The sequence below is a fragment of the Homo sapiens genome, chromosome 6 (assembly GCF_000001405.40).
Source record: "Homo sapiens chromosome 6, GRCh38.p14 Primary Assembly".
Lineage (NCBI taxonomy): Eukaryota > Metazoa > Chordata > Mammalia > Primates > Hominidae > Homo > Homo sapiens.
In genome coordinates, this window is record NC_000006.12 from 25,290,348 (window position 1) to 25,310,812 (window position 20,465).

General features: G+C 41.2%; 1 protein-coding gene across 20 annotated transcripts in view, besides 1 other annotated feature; it reads left to right on the forward strand.

Moving 5' to 3' along the window:
- CARMIL1 (capping protein regulator and myosin 1 linker 1) overlaps positions 1–20,465 on the forward strand; it is a 341,157-nt gene that overhangs the window by 10,974 nt on the left and 309,718 nt on the right. The window lies entirely within an intron of this gene.
- Positions 2,084–2,584: an enhancer, noted in NCBI's record as "H3K27ac-H3K4me1 hESC enhancer chr6:25292659-25293159 (GRCh37/hg19 assembly coordinates)". NCBI's record gives its function as "activates a minimal SCP1, AML or CMV promoter by ChIP-STARR-seq in primed H9 embryonic stem cells {active_cell/tissue: H9 hESC(primed)}" and the evidence as "EXISTENCE:reporter gene assay evidence [ECO:0000049][PMID:30033119]".

A 20,465-nucleotide genomic window follows, 5' to 3' on the forward strand; every position in this document is an offset into this window, starting at 1 on the left:
GCCTCCCAAAGTGCTGGGATTCTTTTTTTTTTTTTTTTTTTTTTTGAGAACTAAGTTGAAGGAAAAACAATGTCTGGCAGGAGCAAGAGCCCTGATGACCTCTTGTTTCCCACAGTTCTGCTGTTGCCTGTTTGGGGGAGAGGAATGTGGCACTCCTCTCTCCAGGATGGTGGCCTTAAAGTGTATGAAAAGTCATTCCTAGTCTCCACTTTGGTTTCTTCTGTTTGATTTGGAATTTGGGTTACATCATCTTTGCCAACCCCTTCTTCTTCCACACCCTTTGTAAAATGGGTCAGAAGCAGGACTTCTTTTCTTCTTAAACTGAGCAAGTAGGGGAAGTGGCATACAAATCGAACTATTCTGTTTTGTTTACCTATTCTCTTTAAAACTGCCCATCTGTTGTCCATTTGTTTTCTTTTGAAAAGTTAATCTGAAATCCACCCCCCCGGCCCCTGAACGACAGGGTCTCACTGTGTTGCACAAGCTGGAGTGCAGTGGCACTATCACAATCACGAGCCTTGCTCAAGTGATTGCCTCTTGCAATCACTTGAACTGAGCCTTGCCCAGTTCAGCCTCTTGAGTAGCTGGGACTACAGGCACATGCCACCATGCCTGCCTAATTAAATTTTTTTATTAATTAATTTTTTTTAGAGACAGTCTCATTATTTTGCCCAGGCTGGTCTTGAACTTCTGGACTCAAGCGATTCTCCCACGTCGGCCTCCCAAAGTGCTGGGATTATAGGCATGAGCCAATGCACCAGGCCTGAAATCCCTTTAACATATTTTTTTCCCCTTGGCTATTTATTTATGGCTTTTGAACATCTTAATTAGACTGGATTGGAGTAACTATAAGTTAACTTAAAAAAATGTCGAAAGGCATAGGGGTATTATTTTGGGTAACGTATCCCTAAAATATTTTGGTGGCAGTGCTGTATTTCATTAACATAAAGTATAAACTCTATTCCACCTGCTTTTTTTTTAAGAGGACATGAAAAAAGAAATATCTCTCATATAGAAGTTTTGGAAGTATTTGACCCACTTAGTCACAAATTATCTTCAACTCAGATATTCTGCAATATGGAAACTATTGTTCTTTTGCAGTAGGCCATACTCATTTTGCATGACCAGTCTGTTTAATGCTTTTCTAGTTTGCCAGTCTCTAGTACCTAACTTGATTCAGCAGTATGACCTGTGCCATAGTCACTTTTCAGACGGATATTCATGCTGAAATTTGTGTTCAGCTTCTTAAGGCAACATCAGCCTTGGCCAGTGGTTTTCAGACTTAGTGCCTGTTTAAAACAATTTTTTTTTTCATGGAACCCATAATGTAGTAATGTTTTGGGATTGTATTTTGGGAGTTCATAGTTAAACCTATAATAGTGTAAACCTAATCACTGATTTCAGTGAGGCTGTTTTGATGAACACAAATTAGAAATAGTAGGGGAGATTTGGTTTTTGCTCTGGTTGCATGGAATAGAGAGACTCCCGATTCACCAGTTAAGCAGTACACATATCACAGTTTTTAAAATAACTAGTCTTGCAATCTCAGGATGCTTTCCAAGTAAATAGAGACGGTAGGGGAAGCTTTATTCTGAGATCTGCACAAAAGTGGGTTATCCTGGCAGCACAGTGTACCTCGTAGTTGTTCTCTGATGTGTAAAACTTGGTGTAACACATCTGAGTGTGTGTGTTGGTGTTTTATTCCAGTAGTTAAAATAGACATAAGACAAATTCATATAAAATGTTTGTAGACTGCAATGTCTTCTGAAGAATGCTGTCAGAAAATCATTATTCTAGGTCCCCAGGTTTACATCCCTCTGTGAGACGCTCTTGTACCAGTTGTTGGGTAATTTGAACAGTTGCCTTTGTGGTACCATTAGGAGTCTCAACTTTTAAGGATCACTTACAGTTCTGTGCATAGGTGATTTTCAAAGCACCTGGGTGAAGTTACATGGCTCTAGAAAATTGAGCTTTAGAAAACAGCAATAACACTGAAACAATCTTTGGGAGTGAGTTATCAGAGAACGTGCATTGTTGCCAAGGATGCTGGCATAAATTCTGGGAACCTCAAAATAAAAGAATCCATATTTAAGCACTTCACAATTTACCTGAACCGAACACTGGAGTCAGTTCCTACCTGTTTCCACTAATCTCTGGGTAGGGGCTGGGGGCAGGCTCTGGCCCTGGGTGTGCGTTTTCAGGAGGCAGTTCTGGCTGACTTGAACTTGTTACCTGAGCTGCATTTACATTCTACTCTCTCCTCATCTGCAACTGCCCCAGTTTCTTCTGTAGTTAGGATAGGCGAGTCAAATGACCTTAGGCAAAGAAGCTGTTGAACATACACCAGGCTCGGTGTAACTTTTCATTGTTCTAAAAAGATACTCTTTTTCCAGTCTCTGGGATTTAGCCACCCTTGGACCAGGGCAATTAGGTATATACCCTGGAGAGGGGAGGAAGGTAAGTGATGGGGGGGAGTAGGAGAGTAGCATGAAAGGGACATTGTGGACATTAAGAAGCCAGGAAATCTAATCAAAATATGGAATGAATAGGGAGAACTCTTCTTTTTTTCATAGTTATAAAATAGTTACAGAGAAAAATAAAGACTTTAGTAAAAGGTTACTGTAAAAACTTTAGGTTTCATTTCATTGGAAACGCTGTTAATATCTTTGTTAAAATAGATGAAAAATGTAGCTACAATCTGAAGGATAAAAGATTTTTGTTCCCTCTCTTATCCCCTCTGCTTTCTAAAATGCTTTTTTTTTTTAATAGAATATAAGAATTTGGATTGGTATATATGGGGTATATCATTGTCTAAATCTTTACGTTACTGTGTTTTATTTATTTTTTTCCCTCTTGATAGACCACTTTCCCCAGCTCTTTGAGGAAAGAGGGGCAAAGAGGGGAAAGAAGGATGCTTGGTGTGTGTGTGTGTGTGTGTGTGTGTGTGTGTGTGTGTGTTTTGTAGCAGTAGTAGTAGTGGCAGTAGGTAAAAGAGTGTTCACTGGGTTATTTTCCTCATCTTGTTTCTTAGGAGAAGGTTTTTCTTATTTATTTTTGAGACAGTGTCTTGCTCTGTCATCCAAGCTGGAGTGCAGTGGTTCAAACACAGCTCACCGCAGCCTCGATATCCTGGGCTCAAGAGATCCTCCTGTGTCAGCCTCTCGGGAGCTGGGACTACAATCACATGCCACCATGCCGAATTTTTTTTTTTCCTAGAGATGGGGTCTCACTTTGTTGCCTAGGCCAGTCTTAAACTCCTGGGCTCAAGCAGTTCTTCCACCTTAGCCTCCCCAAGTAGTGGGGTTACATATGCGAGCTGGTCTTCCCTTCCCTTCCTCTCCTTTCCCTTCCTTTCCCCCTTCCCTTCCCTCTTCCCTTCCCCCTTCCTCTTCCCTTTTGACAGGGCCTCACTTTGTCAGGCTGATGTGCAGTGGCATGATCTCAACTCATTGCAACCTGTGCCACCCAGGCTCAAGTGATCCTCCCACCTCAGCCTCCCAAGTGGCTAAGACTACAGGCATGGGCTGCCCCACCTGGCTAATTTCTGTATTTTTTGTAGAGATGGGGTTTCACCATGTTGCCCAGGCTGGTCTTGAACTCCTGAGCTCAAGTCATCCACCTGCCTTGGCCTCCCAAAGTGCTGGAATTATGGGTGTGAACCACTGTGCCCAACCCAAGGTTTTTCTTTTTTTGAAAGCATTATCACTTGGTGAACATTGGCCAGCAAGTGTCTTGGTTTCTTTAGATATGTGTAGATGCACAGGACGTCCTCTTAGAGGTAGGAAGCAGGCATGTACACATGTCCTGAGCTGTACTTACAGCCTCACCAGCCTTTGGCAAGGGTTTGAGACAGATGTGCTTAGTTCCTGCTAAGAAGGCAAATGTGTCTATTTCTGCTGATCCCTGGGCCCTGGAGTCTCAGGAGACATTTATGGACATTGACTGGGATTAGTAGGTATATCCACCAGACAGGATCTGGTGTAGACAGATTGACTCAAACAGACTCTGGGGAAATTTATTGAGACCTTGCCCTCATTGATTGCTGCCTAGAGGATCTTGGGGCTGGAGGACTCTTGGCAGCCATCTAACCATGTGTCCTAACCTAGGAGAAGTTTCTTCTGTAGCACCTCCGACAGCTAGGTATCTACTTTTTGCTTCACTATTCCCAGTGATGAGAAAAGCAAAAGCCCCCAAAAGCCCTGTCTTCTTTTGAACTGGGATCTGCTTCTCACTCTCCATTTCTTCTTGCATAGTCTACTGGAATATCACAGAACAATTTTTCTCCCTCCTATCCATGAGTGCAGTTCAAGTATTTGAAGAAGGTTATCATACTTTTCTTTGGTCTTATAGTCCTCAGGCTAAATAGGCTCACATCCTGGAGTCTCAGTCCTTGGAAGATGTTGTTTTCAGACTTATCACTATTCTGATCACCTTGCTTTGGAATCACCCTACTTTGTCCATGAACCTTTTAAACAACTGTTGGTGTTTGGGGATCACACATGCTTGGCGAACACCCTTGAACTGAATTAAACAGACTTTCTCAGTCTTTAATGGGCTCCTGTGGATTGTGCCTTTTGAAGAGGGTATGGAGCCTGTGGCATCACAGCATCTGTGTTCCTCCAGGCAGGGTGGGGAACATCAAGCTAAGTGCAACCTGCCTGGTGAAGAATGCTACCTATGCATTGCTTGGACAAAAGGTTTTGTTATTGTTGTTTTTTAAATTTTGGAAGTATCCCTGATATTTGCATTACTAAAACAATAATAAAACATAGGAAAGAAAAAGCGAACATCACCTAATCCTATCAATTTAGATATAATCATTGGAAAAAAAATCAGTATTTTTCATATTTTTCTGTGCTAACTTACATAAAATATATGATATATTTTAAAAAATGGAATCATGAATACTATTTTGTGGTATACTTTTAAAATTTAATTTTTGAGGTCAAAGCTTTCTAGGGCAGTAGAAAGCATGATACTCCATTTACCCACTGTAGAGGAGTACTGTAGTTTATCTAACCATGTCCCTTATTGTCAGATAATTTAGGTTATTTCCAATATTTTGCCTTATAACTGTCCATGTCCTCATATTTATTTCTCTTGGATAAATTCGTGGAAGTGGAATCATTGCCATCATTGCCTAATAGGCATTTTGAAGGATGCTTTTTTTTTCACCTGATTGTTATTTAGGAAGTCTCAATAGAGAATAAATCCTCCACCTTGTCAATTTCATTGTCTTAAACAAGAGTCTACTTGGCAGAATGGCTTGTTCTCTTTGCTTGGATCCGTGTATTTCTTAGACCAGTGCTCCTTGGACCCTAGCTCCTGAGGCAAACCTTTTTCATGCAATTTAGGGTTCTTTCAGATCTCCCTGTGTGGAAGTGTTGTCTTCTACTACAGTATGTTTGCTGGAATGAGAAAGTCCTGTGACTTCACTTGTGGTTTCAGAGTCACAGCTTCCAAGTATCATTGTCTTGGCAGAATCAGCCATAGCTTTTTCCTTGGCTGAATCCTAGGTAGGTGTGAGCCTGTATTATATGATTCAGATCTTTGCCCTTGTCGTGGGACTTTCTTACCTTGGGCCTTTGAATGCTCTCATAAATGGTAGTTGAGTAGATTCACAAATGATAAGGCACATGGCACTTTCATTAGATGAAATGTAATTAACAAGAACCATAAGCTAATATGCATGTAGAACTAGTCCAATGTCTTAGAAGATAATTTAGTATCATAATGAAAGGAGACATTGTTTTTCTTCCCAGACAGTTCTGAAGGCAGTTGATTTTATCTGTATAGCCAACAACAATTTCTTAAGTCTCATGGTCCTTCCCCACTCCACTAGAAGCTGCAGAGTAGTCCTTCTCATTCTCATTTACTGTCCCAATTTCCTGACCCTTTCACTATCTCCCTGTCCTGGGAGAGGGGTGTCCAGGTGATGAGGACCTATGGCCTCTTTTCTGCCATGAGGAGCTCCTTGTGGAGCCCTGTCCTCCTTGCTGAGGCCCTCAAGAGTGCAGCCTGCTTTTCTGTGTCCTTTCAAAGCTACCATTGTGTACTATGTTGCTTGTGGCTGTCTTTTCTTTCAAGCCTGGCAGATAGGATGATATTCCTCAGGGACCTCCTTATTTGCTGTCTCAGAAAACAAGCACAGAGGACTTTCTTAGTTACCCTGTAGAACAGACAAAGAAAATCAAGACGCCCAGATGCGGGGAAGTGACTGAGAACCTTGCAAGGTTCTTTTAAGGCAATCTCTCTGCTCTTTGATGCCTAACCTTATGGGGCACAGCCACACTCACTTGCAGAATCTGAGCTAAGGTGTGGCCAGGAGAAGTCCAGGCCAGTGAATGTTATCAGTGGTCATTTCTTGGTTTCCTGAATCCATCTGTCTTAAATCAGCTGTCACTAGCAACCAAAAAAAGATCTTATCATCTGTCATAGGCATGACCTGAAGAGAAGCAGCTGTGCTTTGTTTTTTGCTAAGTCTTGGGCAGTTCAGTTTGGCACTTAGAGTATTCCAGCTCCTTTTCTTATAAGAATATCTATCTTTATCTATCTATCTATCTATCTATCTATCTATCTATCTATCTTTAACTAACTAACTAACTAACTAACTAACTAAAGCATTTTAAAACGTGGCATCTCGCTTTGTTGCTCAGGCTGGTCTCCAACTGTTGGACTCAAGCACTCCTCCTATCTTGGCCTCCTGAGTGTCTGAGACTACAGGCACAGGCCACCATGCCCAGCCTCAGCTCCTTTTCTTTTAAATCTCTTGGTCCAATTTATATTCTTTGCCAGCATCCTTGGGACAGCACAAATGTTGAAGTTTGGGGAAACATTTTGTACAACTTTGTTCACTGAATCACAGTCACTGCTTGTGCTGTTGATAATCAAAACTAGGCTGCACAGAGTGACGTAGTCACATATTTGGCTTGGGTGTACAGATGTTTCCCTTCAAGCATCTTGGATGTCTTGCTCCTTATCAGAATTTTATCTCCCCCAAATTCATTGTTTGTGAATTAACTGTAAAGTTCTGGGAGCGATTTCCTTTTCAACAGTTTGCCTTTCTAGAAAAAAACTTTTGGAGTTTAAATAGCACTTAACCCTCTATCATTTTACTCTCTCTGAAGTGGTCTCTGTGGAGAACATGTTGGGTCTTCTCTGTTCAATATCTCTCTCTCTCTTTCTTGGCAAAGCCTGGATGCGAGAAGTTGGTCCAATCTTTCCTGTCCAGGGTTGCTTGTTAATACAGCATCTGGAGCAAAGGAAAGGCTATTAGCACCTTGTCACTTGGAGTTTCTTAAGCATTGTTCCATTTATGTGTTCTTTCTGCAGAGATTTAATGAAAGTGGCATCTGTCTTTACACCTGACATATGCAGGTTGTCCGCAGAACTGAACAAGTGGTGTCAGCAACACTGTATATGCAGGAAGGCTTCATGCTCACGTCGTTTTTTCTGTGTTCTCTGGGAGTAGCCAACTTCTTTATTCATCAGAGTAGGGCTTTACATTTTAATATTCTAGAGAGAGATGCTTGTGGTGATATATTTAGCCTTAAATTCAGGAATGGCTTCTTTTTTCAATGTCTTTACATTTTACGCCTCCCATTTTCTGTGTTAATAGGTAAGTGTGCCTACATTTAAATTCTGAAATGGCATTTGCTAACATTTAATCTTGGCCAAGTTATTTAACTTCTCTGTGCCTTACTTTCTTCATCTGTAAAATGGGTGTAATAACAAAAAACTACATTGTAGCTTTGTTTTGAAAATTAAGTGGGATATTACATATAAAATATTTCATAATAGTGCCTGGCACATAGTAAGTCATGAGTAAGTCTTAGCTGTTATTGTTAGGGGTAGTGTCGTGATAATGCTAAATGCTTTGATTAAAAGAATCTAATTGTATATTTGAGTCACAGATTATTCAGATATATTTTATATAAATATTTCAAAAGAAATACCTCAACTTTGCATGTCTTCCTGGCCCTGTACAAGGTACATGTTGTTATGTTTTCTCTGCTCAGAGCTATTTTAAGCCAGTACAGACTGTCTACAGAAATGGGTTTAGAATGTTTTTTCACTCTGCTGTTCTTAAAGAGGGTACACTGCTTTTGAGAAATCTTTTTTAAAGAAAGGGTTCAAGTTCAGTGTTGAGAAATTTGTCTCTGAGGACAACGCTGTGCATTTCCAATACGTATCTGTTTTTCATCTTGCTTTCATTGCAGATCTGCATGTATTTAGATATATGCTCAAGTCCCTCTTTCACTTCCCAGTTACTTAGAGTGAAAAAAAGAAAACATCAGTAGTTGGTGCCTGTTCATTCACTTAGGGCTTTCTTGGTCCTTTCAGGGCACTGCTGTCTGTTGCTGTTGCCTCACTCAGTTTGCTTCCTCTTGGATTTCAGTTATGATTGCTTTTTTTTTTTTTTTTGAGACGGAGTTTTGCTCTTGTTGCCTGGGCTGGAGTGCAATGGCGCGATCTCGGCTCACCGCAACCTCCGCCTCCTGGGTTCAAGCGATTCTCCTGCTTCAAATTCCCGAGTAGCTAGTATTACAGGTGTGTGCCACCATGCCCAGCTTATTTTGTATTTTTAGTGGAGACAGGGTTTCTCCATGTTTCAGGGTGGTCTCGAACTCCTGACCTCAGGTGATCTGCCCGCCTCAGCCTCCCAAAGTGCTGGGATTACAGGTGTGAGCCACTGCGCTTGGCCGATTGCTTTTATTTTATAGCCGGTCCTTGATCGGGGGTGCAGGGTGCATTATCTGAGTTCATTGGTGTGTGTGGCTCTGTGTCTCCATAGTCAGAAGGATTCCTGGGCATGCTGGATTCTTTTTTTTTTTTTTTTTTGGGAAAGAGTCTCACTCTGTTGTCCAGGCTGGAGTGCAGTGGTGCAATCTTAGCTCACTGCAACTTCTGCCTCCCGGGCTCAAGGGATTCTCCTGCCTCAGCCTCCTGAATAGCTGGGATTACAGGTGCCTGCCACCATACCCAGCTAATTTTTTGTATTTTTAGTAGAGACGGGGTTTTACCATGTTGGCCAGGCTGGTCTCAAAGTCCTGACCTCAGGTGATCTGCCCGCCTCGGCCTCCCAAAGTGCTGGGATTACAGGCCTAAGTCACAGCACCCGGCCCATGCTGGGTTCTTAATCTCCAGGCTGTGCTGGACTCTCACCTTCTAACCAACCTTGAGGTATTTCAGTCCCAGCACTATTGACATTTTGGTCAAAACAATTGTTGTGGGGGCTGTCCTGTGCATGATAGGATGTTTACCAGCATCTGTGGCCCCTCCCCACTAGATCCTGGCACCATCACCCACTCTTCCCACAGTTGGGATAATTAAAAATGTCTCCAGAGGCTGGGCACGGTGGCTCATGCCTGTAATTCCAGCACTTTGGGAGGCCGAGGCGAGCGGATCACCTGAGGTCAGGAGTTTTTGAGACCAGCCTGGCCAACATGGCGAAAACCCATCTCTACTAAAAATAGAAAAATTAGCTGGGTGTGGTGGCGGGTGCCTGTAATCCTAGCTACTTGGGAGGCTGAGGCATGAGAATTGCTTGAAACTGGGAGGTAGAGGTTGCAGTGAGCTGAGATTGTGCCACTGCACTCCAGCCTGGGGCGACAGAGTGAGACTCCACCTCAAAAAAAAAAAAAAAAAAGTTTCCAAACATTGTCACATGTCCTTTGGATTGTAGAATTGGCCCCCCCACTGAGAATCATTGGTTTAGATCAGTGGGTTTCAAATGTCAGAGAGCAGGTGTGTATTTTATCATATTTAGCTTCTAGAGTTATGTCTAAGTCTCGAAATTTACAGTTTTATGATATAGCCATTGTTGATTTATCTAAAAGTCTATATGCATTTAAAATGCTTATTTTTGAAATATTTAGATAACCAAATCTGTATGTAACAAAAATAACAAATCCCACCACATAGCAATTTGTCTTGTTTTAAGATACCTAAAAGATCAGACCAGTGGTTCTCAATATTTGGTCCTGAGAAACAGCAACATTAACATCACCTGATAACTTATCAAAAATGCAAAAGCAGGCCAAGCGTGGTGGCTCATGCCTGTAATCCCAGCAGTTTGGAAGGCCAAGGAGGGAGGATCACTTGAGGCCAGGAGTTCGAGACCAGCCTGGCCAACATGGCAAACTCCTGTCTCTGCTAAAATATGGAGGCACACACTTGTAATCCCAGCTATTTGGGAGGCTAAGGCATGAGAGTCACTTGAACTCGGGAGGTAGAGGTTGCAGTGGGCTGAGATCGTGCTACTGCACTCCAGCCTGGGTGACAGAGTGAAACTTTTCCTCAAAACCAAACAAAACAAAAAAGCAAAATCAAAGCATAGGAGACCTATCTAGACCTACTAAATCAGAAACTCTGGCAGTGGAGCCCTGCGATCTGTTTTAACAAGCCCTTCAGGTCATTTTGATGCACACTGAAGTTTGAGAAACACTTGGTTAGTTACTTAGGTAACTAGGTAACTAAGTATATTACTAAGTTACTTAGATAATTAAGTTAGCTCCAGTTAGAGACCCATAGAATAAACCTTATTGAGAAATAAGTATAACCTGCTATATACAGAACTTTGAAATCTGCTTAGGAAAATGACTTTTACCAGACAGATCATGCTAAGTGTGTGCTGGTCATATTGGCTTCCCTGCAAGAGCCTGCCATGTCCACAGCTTTCTTTACAGGATTTCCTTTTGTTAGTATCCCCAAGCTTGGTGCATGCAACTTCACAGTTTGGTGGCCATAGCTGCTTGAACTAGGTATGCTTATGCCTGACTCCCAAGGTACGCATCGATAGGCTAACCAGCAGCATGTATTGGGAAGAGATTGATCCTCTTGGGAGTTTGAGACAGAGACAAAGAAATGGGAAGACAGCAAAAGGCATGAGGAATAAAAGCCCTTAGTTAAGCAGAAACCATGAGGAGATGAAGAGGCTCTTAATGAGCCAGTGGTAACAAGAACAATAGGAGGTGGAATTGGGTGACAGAGCACAGGATGGCTGCTTTGGAAAGGGTGACTTTTAGAATCGAAGTTGAGTCAATGTACTTAAACTAATATGTGCACAGTATGTTTTAGTTTTCTAGAAGGCCCAACTGGGCAGCTGCTCATAGGGGTTCCTGTTTTGTACTTCCCTATTTTGCTTGCTTCTCTAGGGAGCCTCATGTTAAATCATCATTAACTGAGGCAATTTCATAATATGTCTATTCCTTGTTGCCTGGATGAACCCATTGAATATATAACTATATTAGAAGACCAAGTGGTTTCAGATGGGTTGCAGGTGGGTTTCATGGCATGCTGCTTCGTTGAAGCAGTGACTCTCAGCCTGGCTGTGCCTCAGAAACACCTGGGTAGCCTCTGCCTCTTTATTTAAAAACTTTCTGTATGTGAGATTCTCACGGGCAGTTGAAGTCTGTATTACAGGAGAGAATGGGAGATAGAAGCTGTTACTTTCAGCTTGTTGATGGGTTGACTTTCCCAAAATAAAGCTGCATAGGGCGTACTTCAGAAAACTTCAGGCCTTACTTCATTCATTTCCTTAGATCAGACCAAATAAGCCAGCTCACCATATTTATTCCAGAGATGTGTTGCTTTGCCTCCAATAACATTTTCCTTAACATTTCCTGTTAGAGCCTCTGGGTACTATTTCTTTTGAGGGAGATGCTAAGAGTTTGAAAAGCCTTAAAAAAATCATTAAAAATACATGGAATAGAGTGTTGAAATCAGCATTGTAAATCATTTTCTGAAAATTCAGTAAGTCTAAAGAAGTTTTTCTGTTTTGAATGATCGGCACTGACCCTATCCAGTTGGTCAGTGCCTCCCTTATCCTGCTAGTCACCTCTTCCTCCTGTCTTTCCTATTAGAACCAAGGAAAGTATACAAGTACCTCCATGCAGCAAATCCACTGGATTCTCTGACACAAATCAATCCAGAGGGGAATGAGTGAAGATACAGAATACTTTACATTGTTGCTCAGATGGTTGGCTGAGTTCCATTAGGGTAATATATTCTGGGAATGTGGTCCAGTGCTTGGTTTCAAGGCCAGCTTAAAAGATTTGGGGCCTGACCAAGAGCATAATCAGGATTCTCTTATTCTCCAACCTAGTATCCTTGAGGAGATTGTAAACTACTCGAGAGTCCAGGACTGTTTACCTATTGTACTTTTATGTTAAGTACCTCTACCCCTAAAAGCAATCTCTTTGTGATATACACAGAATATTTGCCCAGTAAGTCACTCAGCCTTGAGTACAAATTTTAAGCCCGAGCTGCTTTCCTCAGGGGCCCAGCCAGTCTCTTTACTCAGCAGCCTTATCTGACATAGCCCATCTTTAATTTAGCTTTGTTCACGATGCAGGGATCAATAACAGCGATGCTGGGAGGGAGGGAGAATGGCCAACTGCAAACAGCCGCCCATCTCAGCACTTGAACTGAACTCTACTTTGGTCAGGATGATTAGTGCAGTCTGGAGAGCCATTAAGTGCTCTCTGACTAGTTCATCTGAGTTCTGCTTCCCACTACACTCAATGACTAACCCAGGAGATTACAGATGCTTGAGGAGAAAGAGTGTCGTGTCTCCCTGTGTGGTACTGAGTAGTGTTTGTACCACTGTCTCAGGAATGTGAATTACAGTGCAAATGAGCTGCCTCTCTTGTTTCCTTTTCTGCACGTCATTTTAGAGAGAGTGATTTATTTTCTGTTTGCGAAGGCTTGGTCTCATCATTTAGATGAGAGAGAAATTGCATGTACTTTCAACTTTTGGCTGGTTATAGGCATCTCCTTTTTTTTTTTTTCCATTGTGAGAGTTGTTTATGCTGATTGAATGAAAAGATTCGTTTTCTTAGGCTTTCAGTGATGACACTCCATTTCTTCCATGTGATAAAATTATAATGCGTGATTTTATTTTATTATTTTTTAAAAGTAAAACTGTCACCTAACATTTCCTCTACAGTTGGGTAAAAAACTAAGAAAAGCATCTCATTTCCTATTGGTTCCATGAGCAACCCTTTTTAGCATACAGATCAGAAGCCTTGTGTGGCTCTAAGCCTATTTCCTCAATTGGGGAAGTAACAGACTCTGTTCCCAAGATATGAATAGGTGTGCTGGGTGAGAAGTGCTCTGTGCTCAAGGACTTTGACCCTTCATTTTCCAAACTTAAACAAGTTTCTCCATTTCTCTGTTCTTAGAACCTTTGGTATTCATATACTTAACATGTACATTTCTTGAAGCGCCAATTATCATCTCACAGGACACTGGTGTTCCAGGGAACTTGGAGAAAAGCTGACAAGTTATTTTAGTGTGTTATCTTTTACACAAAGGGACTCTGTTTTAGAATTTGCCATATCTGCTTTAACGCTGTACAAATTAGCCAACTGGAGAAATATATGTTAAATAACGGGTGAACAACACATAATCACCCAACCTACTTTTAGGAAGATTACTAAAACATTCCATTTAACAATCATTCAGCACTATCTGTTTGTAAAGGACACGTAAGTTTTAAAGGAAGAAGCTGGTGACTTGGGAATGGACTGGAATAAAGTCAGAGAAGTCCTTTGTCCAGGGAACTTCATCATTGGGTTTGACTTGAGAAGAACAAATCAGATAAGATTAGTCTCCTCATTATAAATGTTTAAGGTAATTTCAGATCACTCTGCTTTAAAAGTCTTGTGAAATGGGGTTGGGAAAGTTTCCTTAAATCATTTACACTTGTTGATTGTGTGCAGTTTATATTATGAGCCTGCTGCCCCCACAGGTGCTGAGCTGTGCTCACACATGGGAGGGGACATCACAGAAAAGAAGACGTAGATTTATTACCTATGGTTCTGAACTGGGACAATTGATAAAAATTACAGGTGCTGAGGATTGGCTTGAAACGCAGAATAATCTTCCTAACAGAGCTGTCCACTCATAGAATGTGCTTATTGTGAGGGTGGGGATAGAGGATGGGGAATTGAATTCCTTGCAGCTGGGTAAGTTCAAGTATAGATTGCTTGCCCTCTTAACTAGGATGTCCTATAGAACAGCCGTCCCCAACCTTTTTGGTACCAGGGAGTAGTTTTGTGGAAGACAATTTTTCCACAGACCGAGTGGGTAGGGGGATGGTTTTGGGATAAACTGTTCCACCTCAGATCATCAGGCATTAGATTCTCATAAGGAGTGTGCAGCCTGCTTCCCTCGCATGTGCAGTTCACAGTAGGGTTCACGCTCCTATGAGAATCAAATGCCTTGGCTGATCTGACAGGAGGCAGAACTCAGGTGGTAATGTTTGGTCACCTGCCGCTCACCTCCTGCTGTGCGGTCTGGTTCCTAACAGGCCACAGACTGGTACTGGTCCACAGCCCAGGGGTTGGGGACACCTGCTATAGAACATTCAAGTAGGAAAATACTTCCTTTGGTCTAAGATTCTGAAATTTACAATGTTCCCTGCTCATATATCAAATGATGTATTAGCTAGAGCTTATTGAATGTCACAGTTTTACTGTCAAGAACTTAAAACTTCTATTATGAGGCAGAGCATTTGGTAAGGATAGTTGAGTCCCTCAGTGACTGTTTGGATTGGTTCTATGTCCTAGGATTGAGTACATGATATCATTTTGATGAGGTTAAAATCCAATTAGGAGGTCTGTCCCTTTGGCTGCTGGCTGGGTTTGTTACTTTTTAGTTCCAGTAGAGATATGTGAAGCTTTTCTGAACATGTTTAGCAAGGTTTGATTTTGGCATTTCTGAATATAACTGTGAGAAGAATTATCTTCCTGCTGTCCTGGTGGCAGAAGACATTGGACTTTGTTTGCTTGTCTCTTTGGGGGCAGATACACGGGCATTTAAAGAGCCATTCTAATTTTAGGAACTTGAGAATCAGGAGTCCTGAGGGTTAGTGCTAATACTTTAAAAGGTTCTTAGGTCTGCAATTTTAGTTAATAGTGTGGGGCTGAAAAAGCCTTTTTCCAGGAATATTGTGAGAGTAAGTGGGAAGTAGAGCTTTTAGAATTTTAGGAGAAAAGGGCATGGCTATTTCAGTTAATAATACATGAAGAGTTTTCTCCTTTCAGAGTCCTCCTTTCTTTGGGTTTCAAAAGGTAAGACAATCCACGGGTTTTTTAGTTTGTCTTTCAGGTGAATTGTAAAGTTTTCCTGTAAATACTGTCATTGCACTGACATGGATATTGCTGAGCAGATAAAACAAATAGCAAGTTGAGGAGGCAGTTAATTCACACTCTTCCTTCTCTAATATGGTCTGCGGCTCTAAGAATTGTTGTCTCATCCATGGCTTTTAGACCCTTAAATTTTAGTGAGTTTCATCACACGGAAACTATTGATAATTTCTTCTTCTGAAGTTTTTTGTAAGTGGTCCCTGCTAGCTAATGGTGCACAAAATGAAGCAATACAACATTTCTCTTATGGGGACTGGGAGAGAACTGACATCCTTTATAAATATGTAGCTGATATATAGGTTACCAGCCTAAGGGCTGCCTGGTGGGGAAAGTGAGGCCTGTGCCTGTCTCTACCACTGAAGACATGTTCATCAAGCCAATATATGCCTCAGACATTAAAAATATCCTTTTTTTCATTTTAAAATAATTGCCATTAAGTATACATAACATAAAATTTACCATTTTAACCACTATTAATAAATATATGTTCAGCGGCATGAAGTATATTCTCAATGTTATGCAACGTATCCATTTCCAGAACTTTTTCATCCCAAACAGAAACTGTATCAAACACTGAGTCCTCATTCCACCTCCCCATCGCCCCTGACAATCACTAATCTACTTTCTGTTTCCATAGAAACAGAAAATATCCCTATTTGGCATGTTTTATATAAATCAATTATATAATACGTGGCCTTTTGTGTCTGGCTTGTGTCATTTAGCAGAAGGGTCCCCAACCCCAGGGCTGCGGATAGGTACTGTTCCATGACCTTTTAGGAACCTGGGTCACACAGCAGGAGGTGAGCGGCAGGTAAGTGAGCATTACCGCCTGAGTTCTACCTCCTGTCAGATCAGCGGTGGCATTAGATTCTCATAGTTACGAGAACCCTGTTGTGAACTGTGCATTCAAGAGATGTAGGCTGTGTGCTCCATATGAGAATCTAGTTGATGCTCGATGATCTGAGGTGGAACTTTTTCATCCTGAAACCATCTCTCCTCCCCCCCACTTTTATTGAAAAGTTGTCTTCCAGGAAACCAGTCCTTGGTGCCAACAAGGTTGGGGACTGCTGACTTAGCATATGTTTTCAAGTTTCCTCTATGTTGTAGCATGTGCTAGAAGTTCATTCCTTTTTAATGCTGAATAATATTCTGTTGTATGCATATACCAATTTTTAAAAAAGTCATTCATACTTCAATGGACCTTTGAATTGTTTTTATTTTTTGGCTACTGTGAATACTATTGTGAACATTACTGTATGGCTGAACATTGCTGTATCTGAGTTCCTTCTTTCAGTTCTTTTGAGTATATACCTAGGAGTGGAATTACTGGATCATATGGCAGTTCTGTGTTTAACCACCTGTTTCCTGCAGTGCCTTGGCTTTTTTTTTTTTTTTTTTTGACGAGTCTCATTCTTGTCGCCTGGGCTGGAATGCACTGGCACGATCTCGGCTCACTGCAACCTCTGCCTCCCCAGTTCAAGTGATTCTCCTGCCTCAGCCTCTGGAGTAGCTTGGCTTACAGGCGCCTGCCACCACGCCTGGCTAATTTTTTTGTATTTTTAGTAGAGACAGGTTTTCACCATGTTGGCCAGGCTGGTCTCGAACTCCTGACCTCAGGTGATCCGCCTGCCTTGGTCTCCCAAAGTGCTGGGATTACAGCTGTGAGCCACCGCGCCCGGTCGCCCTGGTCCTTTTGAAACTGGGCAGTAATACCTGTGCTTGTAAGAGTGTTTACAAATATTTATCAGCCTTTTGGAACTTTAAATTAGAAAAGTGAACAGACTGTATTTGTTAGCACTTTATATACTTACATTATGTCATGGAACTTATTATTCGTGTTTCCTGAATGTCTGTTGTTTGGATACCTGTGTGTGTTTCCTACTCTATTAGAAATTCCTTGACCTGATCTGCAGTTCTCCATCTTTGTCCACCTTTTTTGTACCTTGTACTCAATAAATGTTTGTTGATAAATTGATTAGATGTGCAACATATTCTAAAGTATTATTTTTAAAAAAGAGATCCATTTACAAGAAGCACATTGGAATTATTTCCAGGTTTTGTTTTGCTAAAGTTAAGATCTGACATTATTTGTTAATTTCTCTTGGTTATGGAATGAAAAGTATTCCCACTGTTAAAAATAAATGTTAGATGTAGGAAGTAAACAGAGATGTATTTAGACATTGGGGAAAGGCTTCCACTGGGATCTGAAATATTGTGGGAAGAGAATCGCTATTGTTAGAGTAGTTCTGTGCCGTGTTAGTCTTTATTTTGTTTAGATACTGCTTTTTTGGGGGACCACTCTGCAGGCATCTAAATCTGAAGTGTAAGCCTCTTTTTTGATAAATGAGGGATAGCTAAAAGATGGGTTATTTTGGTTATTGGTTTTGCTTTTAATAGATAACCAGAATTTTTACCTCTTGGGAGAGAATGTTATCTACTTATTTATAGCAAGCAAGTGTTGTTACGGCAGGTGGCTGTGGATGTTGGCATTCAAATGGCACTGATAAGACTTTAAACAAGGTAGCCATCCAGTTATGCTTAGGCTAAAAAATGGCTGTGTGCAGATTAGGCTACATATTTCACATGGATATAAAGTTCTACTTTTATTAACAAACATAACAGTGCATTGCTTTTGTGTTTTTAGTTTCTCTTAGCCCTTATTTCTTGTCTCTTTTGGTGGCTTGCTGTTGTCTATAGCTGAGCTGAAACTTTCTGTGCAGGAATTAAGCTTAAAATATCAGTTTGTAGTCAGCTGTGGAGTATGATAAAACTTTGAGCAACACAGTTTCCAACAACACCCCTTTGTCACTGTGCCTGAGAAAGCTCTTATTAATAGAATTTCATGTGAGGTTCCGTGAGAAGGACTATTGTACAACCATTTTTTTTTTTTTTTTTTTTTTGAGATGGAGTCTCCCTTTGTCACCCAGACTGGAGTGCAGTGGCACGATCTCGGCTTACTGCAACCTCTGACTCCCAGATTCAAGTGATTCTCCTGCCTCAGCCTCCCGAGTAGCAGGGACTACAGGCGCGTGCCACCACACCTGGTTAATTTTTTGTATTTTTCATAGAGATGGGGTTTCACCTTGTTGGCCAGGCTGGTCTCGAACTCCTGACCTTGTGATCCACCTGCCTTGGCCTCCCAAAGTGCTGGGATTACAGGCGTGAGCCACTGTTCCGGCCATTTTTTTTTTTAACAGTGAAACAGGGAAACATAATATTTTTCTTACTTTAAAAAATCCTTCAGTTTATAATCATCAGGAGTATTGGATATCTTTTAAGTGAAGGTGGAAGTTCACTTAATAAAAAAGGAAGCTCATTTTTCCTTCTTTGAATGGTTAACATGGGAGTACCCCAAGGTGGAAGCTTTACATGACTGAGAAAGCCCATCCACTCATTGTCATAGAATCAACTATTAATTCAACAAATACTTATGGAGCCTTTGCCATGCCTATGAGCCTTGTGCTAGAAGCCAGGGATAAGTAAAATAAATTCTGCACCTGCCTCCTGCAACTTAGTCCAATTTCCAGGTCTCCCTTAGATTTTTCTCTGTTTTAATTTTTATTTTGAAAATGGAGACAGGGTCTCACTATGTTGCCCAGGCTGGTCATGAACTCCTGGGCTCAAGTGATCCTCCCGCCTAGGCCTCTTAAAGTGCTGAGATTACAGGCATGAGCCATCACACCTAGCCTCTCTCTTAAAACAACTTTATTAAAGATGTAATTCAGGCTGGGTGTGGTGGCTCACATCTGTAATCCCAGCACTTGAAAATTACTTGAAGTTGGGAGGTGGAGGTTGCAATGAGCTCAGATCATGCCACTGCACTCCAGCTTGGGTAACAGAGCAAGAGTCCCTCTCAAAAAAAAAAAAAAAAAAAAAAGTAATTCACATACCATACATTTCACCTGTTTAAAGTGTACAATTCAGTGGCTATTAGTATATTCACAGAGTTGTGCATCTATTACCAGAATCAATTTTGAGCCTTTTTTTTTTTTTAACCCCAAAAAGAAACCTCTTCCCTTTAACACTTATCCCCAGTCCACCTATCCTTCTCAGCCCTTGGCAACAGCTAGTCTACTTTCTGTCTCTATGGACCGGCCTAGTCTAGATATTTTATATAAATGGAATTATATAATATGTGGCCTTCATGTCTGGCTTATGTCATTTAGCATAATATTTTCAAAGTTCTTCCATGTTGTAGCATGGGTTAGAACTTCATTCTTCTTTTATTATGGTTGAATGATATTCCACTGTATGAATATACCACATCTTTTTTTTTTTTTTTTTTTTGGAGACAGAATCTTGCTCTGTTGCCCAGGCTAGAATGCAATGGCACGATCTCGGCTCACTGCAAGCTCCGTCTCCTGGGTTCAAGGGATTCTCCTGTCTCAGCTTCTCGAGTAGTTGGGATTACAGGTGCACGCCACCGCACCCGGCTAATTTTTGTATTTTTAGTAGAGGTGGGGCTTCACCTCCTTGGCCAGGCTGGTCTTAAACTCCTGACCTCATGATCCACCCGCCTCTGCCTCCCAAAGTGCTGGGATTACAGGAGTGAGCCACCCCGCCGGGCCACATCTTTTTTTAATCTATTCCTTCACTAATAGATTGTGGGTTGTTTCCACCTTCTCACTATGTGAGTAATGCTCTTATGAGCGTGCATACAAGTTTTTGTGTGGGCATATGTGCTCAAGTCTCTGATCCCCTAGATGTCTTGCCTATCCTACAGATCCAGGCCTACCACAAAAAAGTGTAGAAGGATCATATACCATGAGAACATAAAGGAGGGACATGTAGACTTAATTAGGGAGTCAGGGAAGGCTGCCCCTGAGGCCACCATATCCAAGCTGCGGCTTGAGAGATAGGTTGAATAGAAAAGTTTTTCAAACTGCAGCTGATCACCCATTAGTAGGTTGTGAATTCAGTTTAGTGAATCATGGCCAGCATTTTTTAGGAGGTGAACTAAAATAGAATAGTAGATGTTAGAGGACATTCCATGTGGTAAGGGTAAGTATTGTTGCATGAAATTTATTTTCAGTAGCTATATGAGCGCATCTAGCAAATTGTGACGTAAGAAGTATTCTATATTCCGGGTTGCAATCAGAAAAATATGAAAGCCACTGCTCTAGGGATTTTTTAAAAGGAGATTATTTATTAATCTGGAGCTTTAAATATGGTTCCACTAGAAGATTGGAGAGATACAGGAGAGAGAAGAACCTAGAAAGCTGAAGATCCTTTGAAAGCTTAAAGTTCTGTGATTTCTACACTTTTAAAATGATTCATTTATTCAACAAATATTAAAATATTTACCATAGGCCT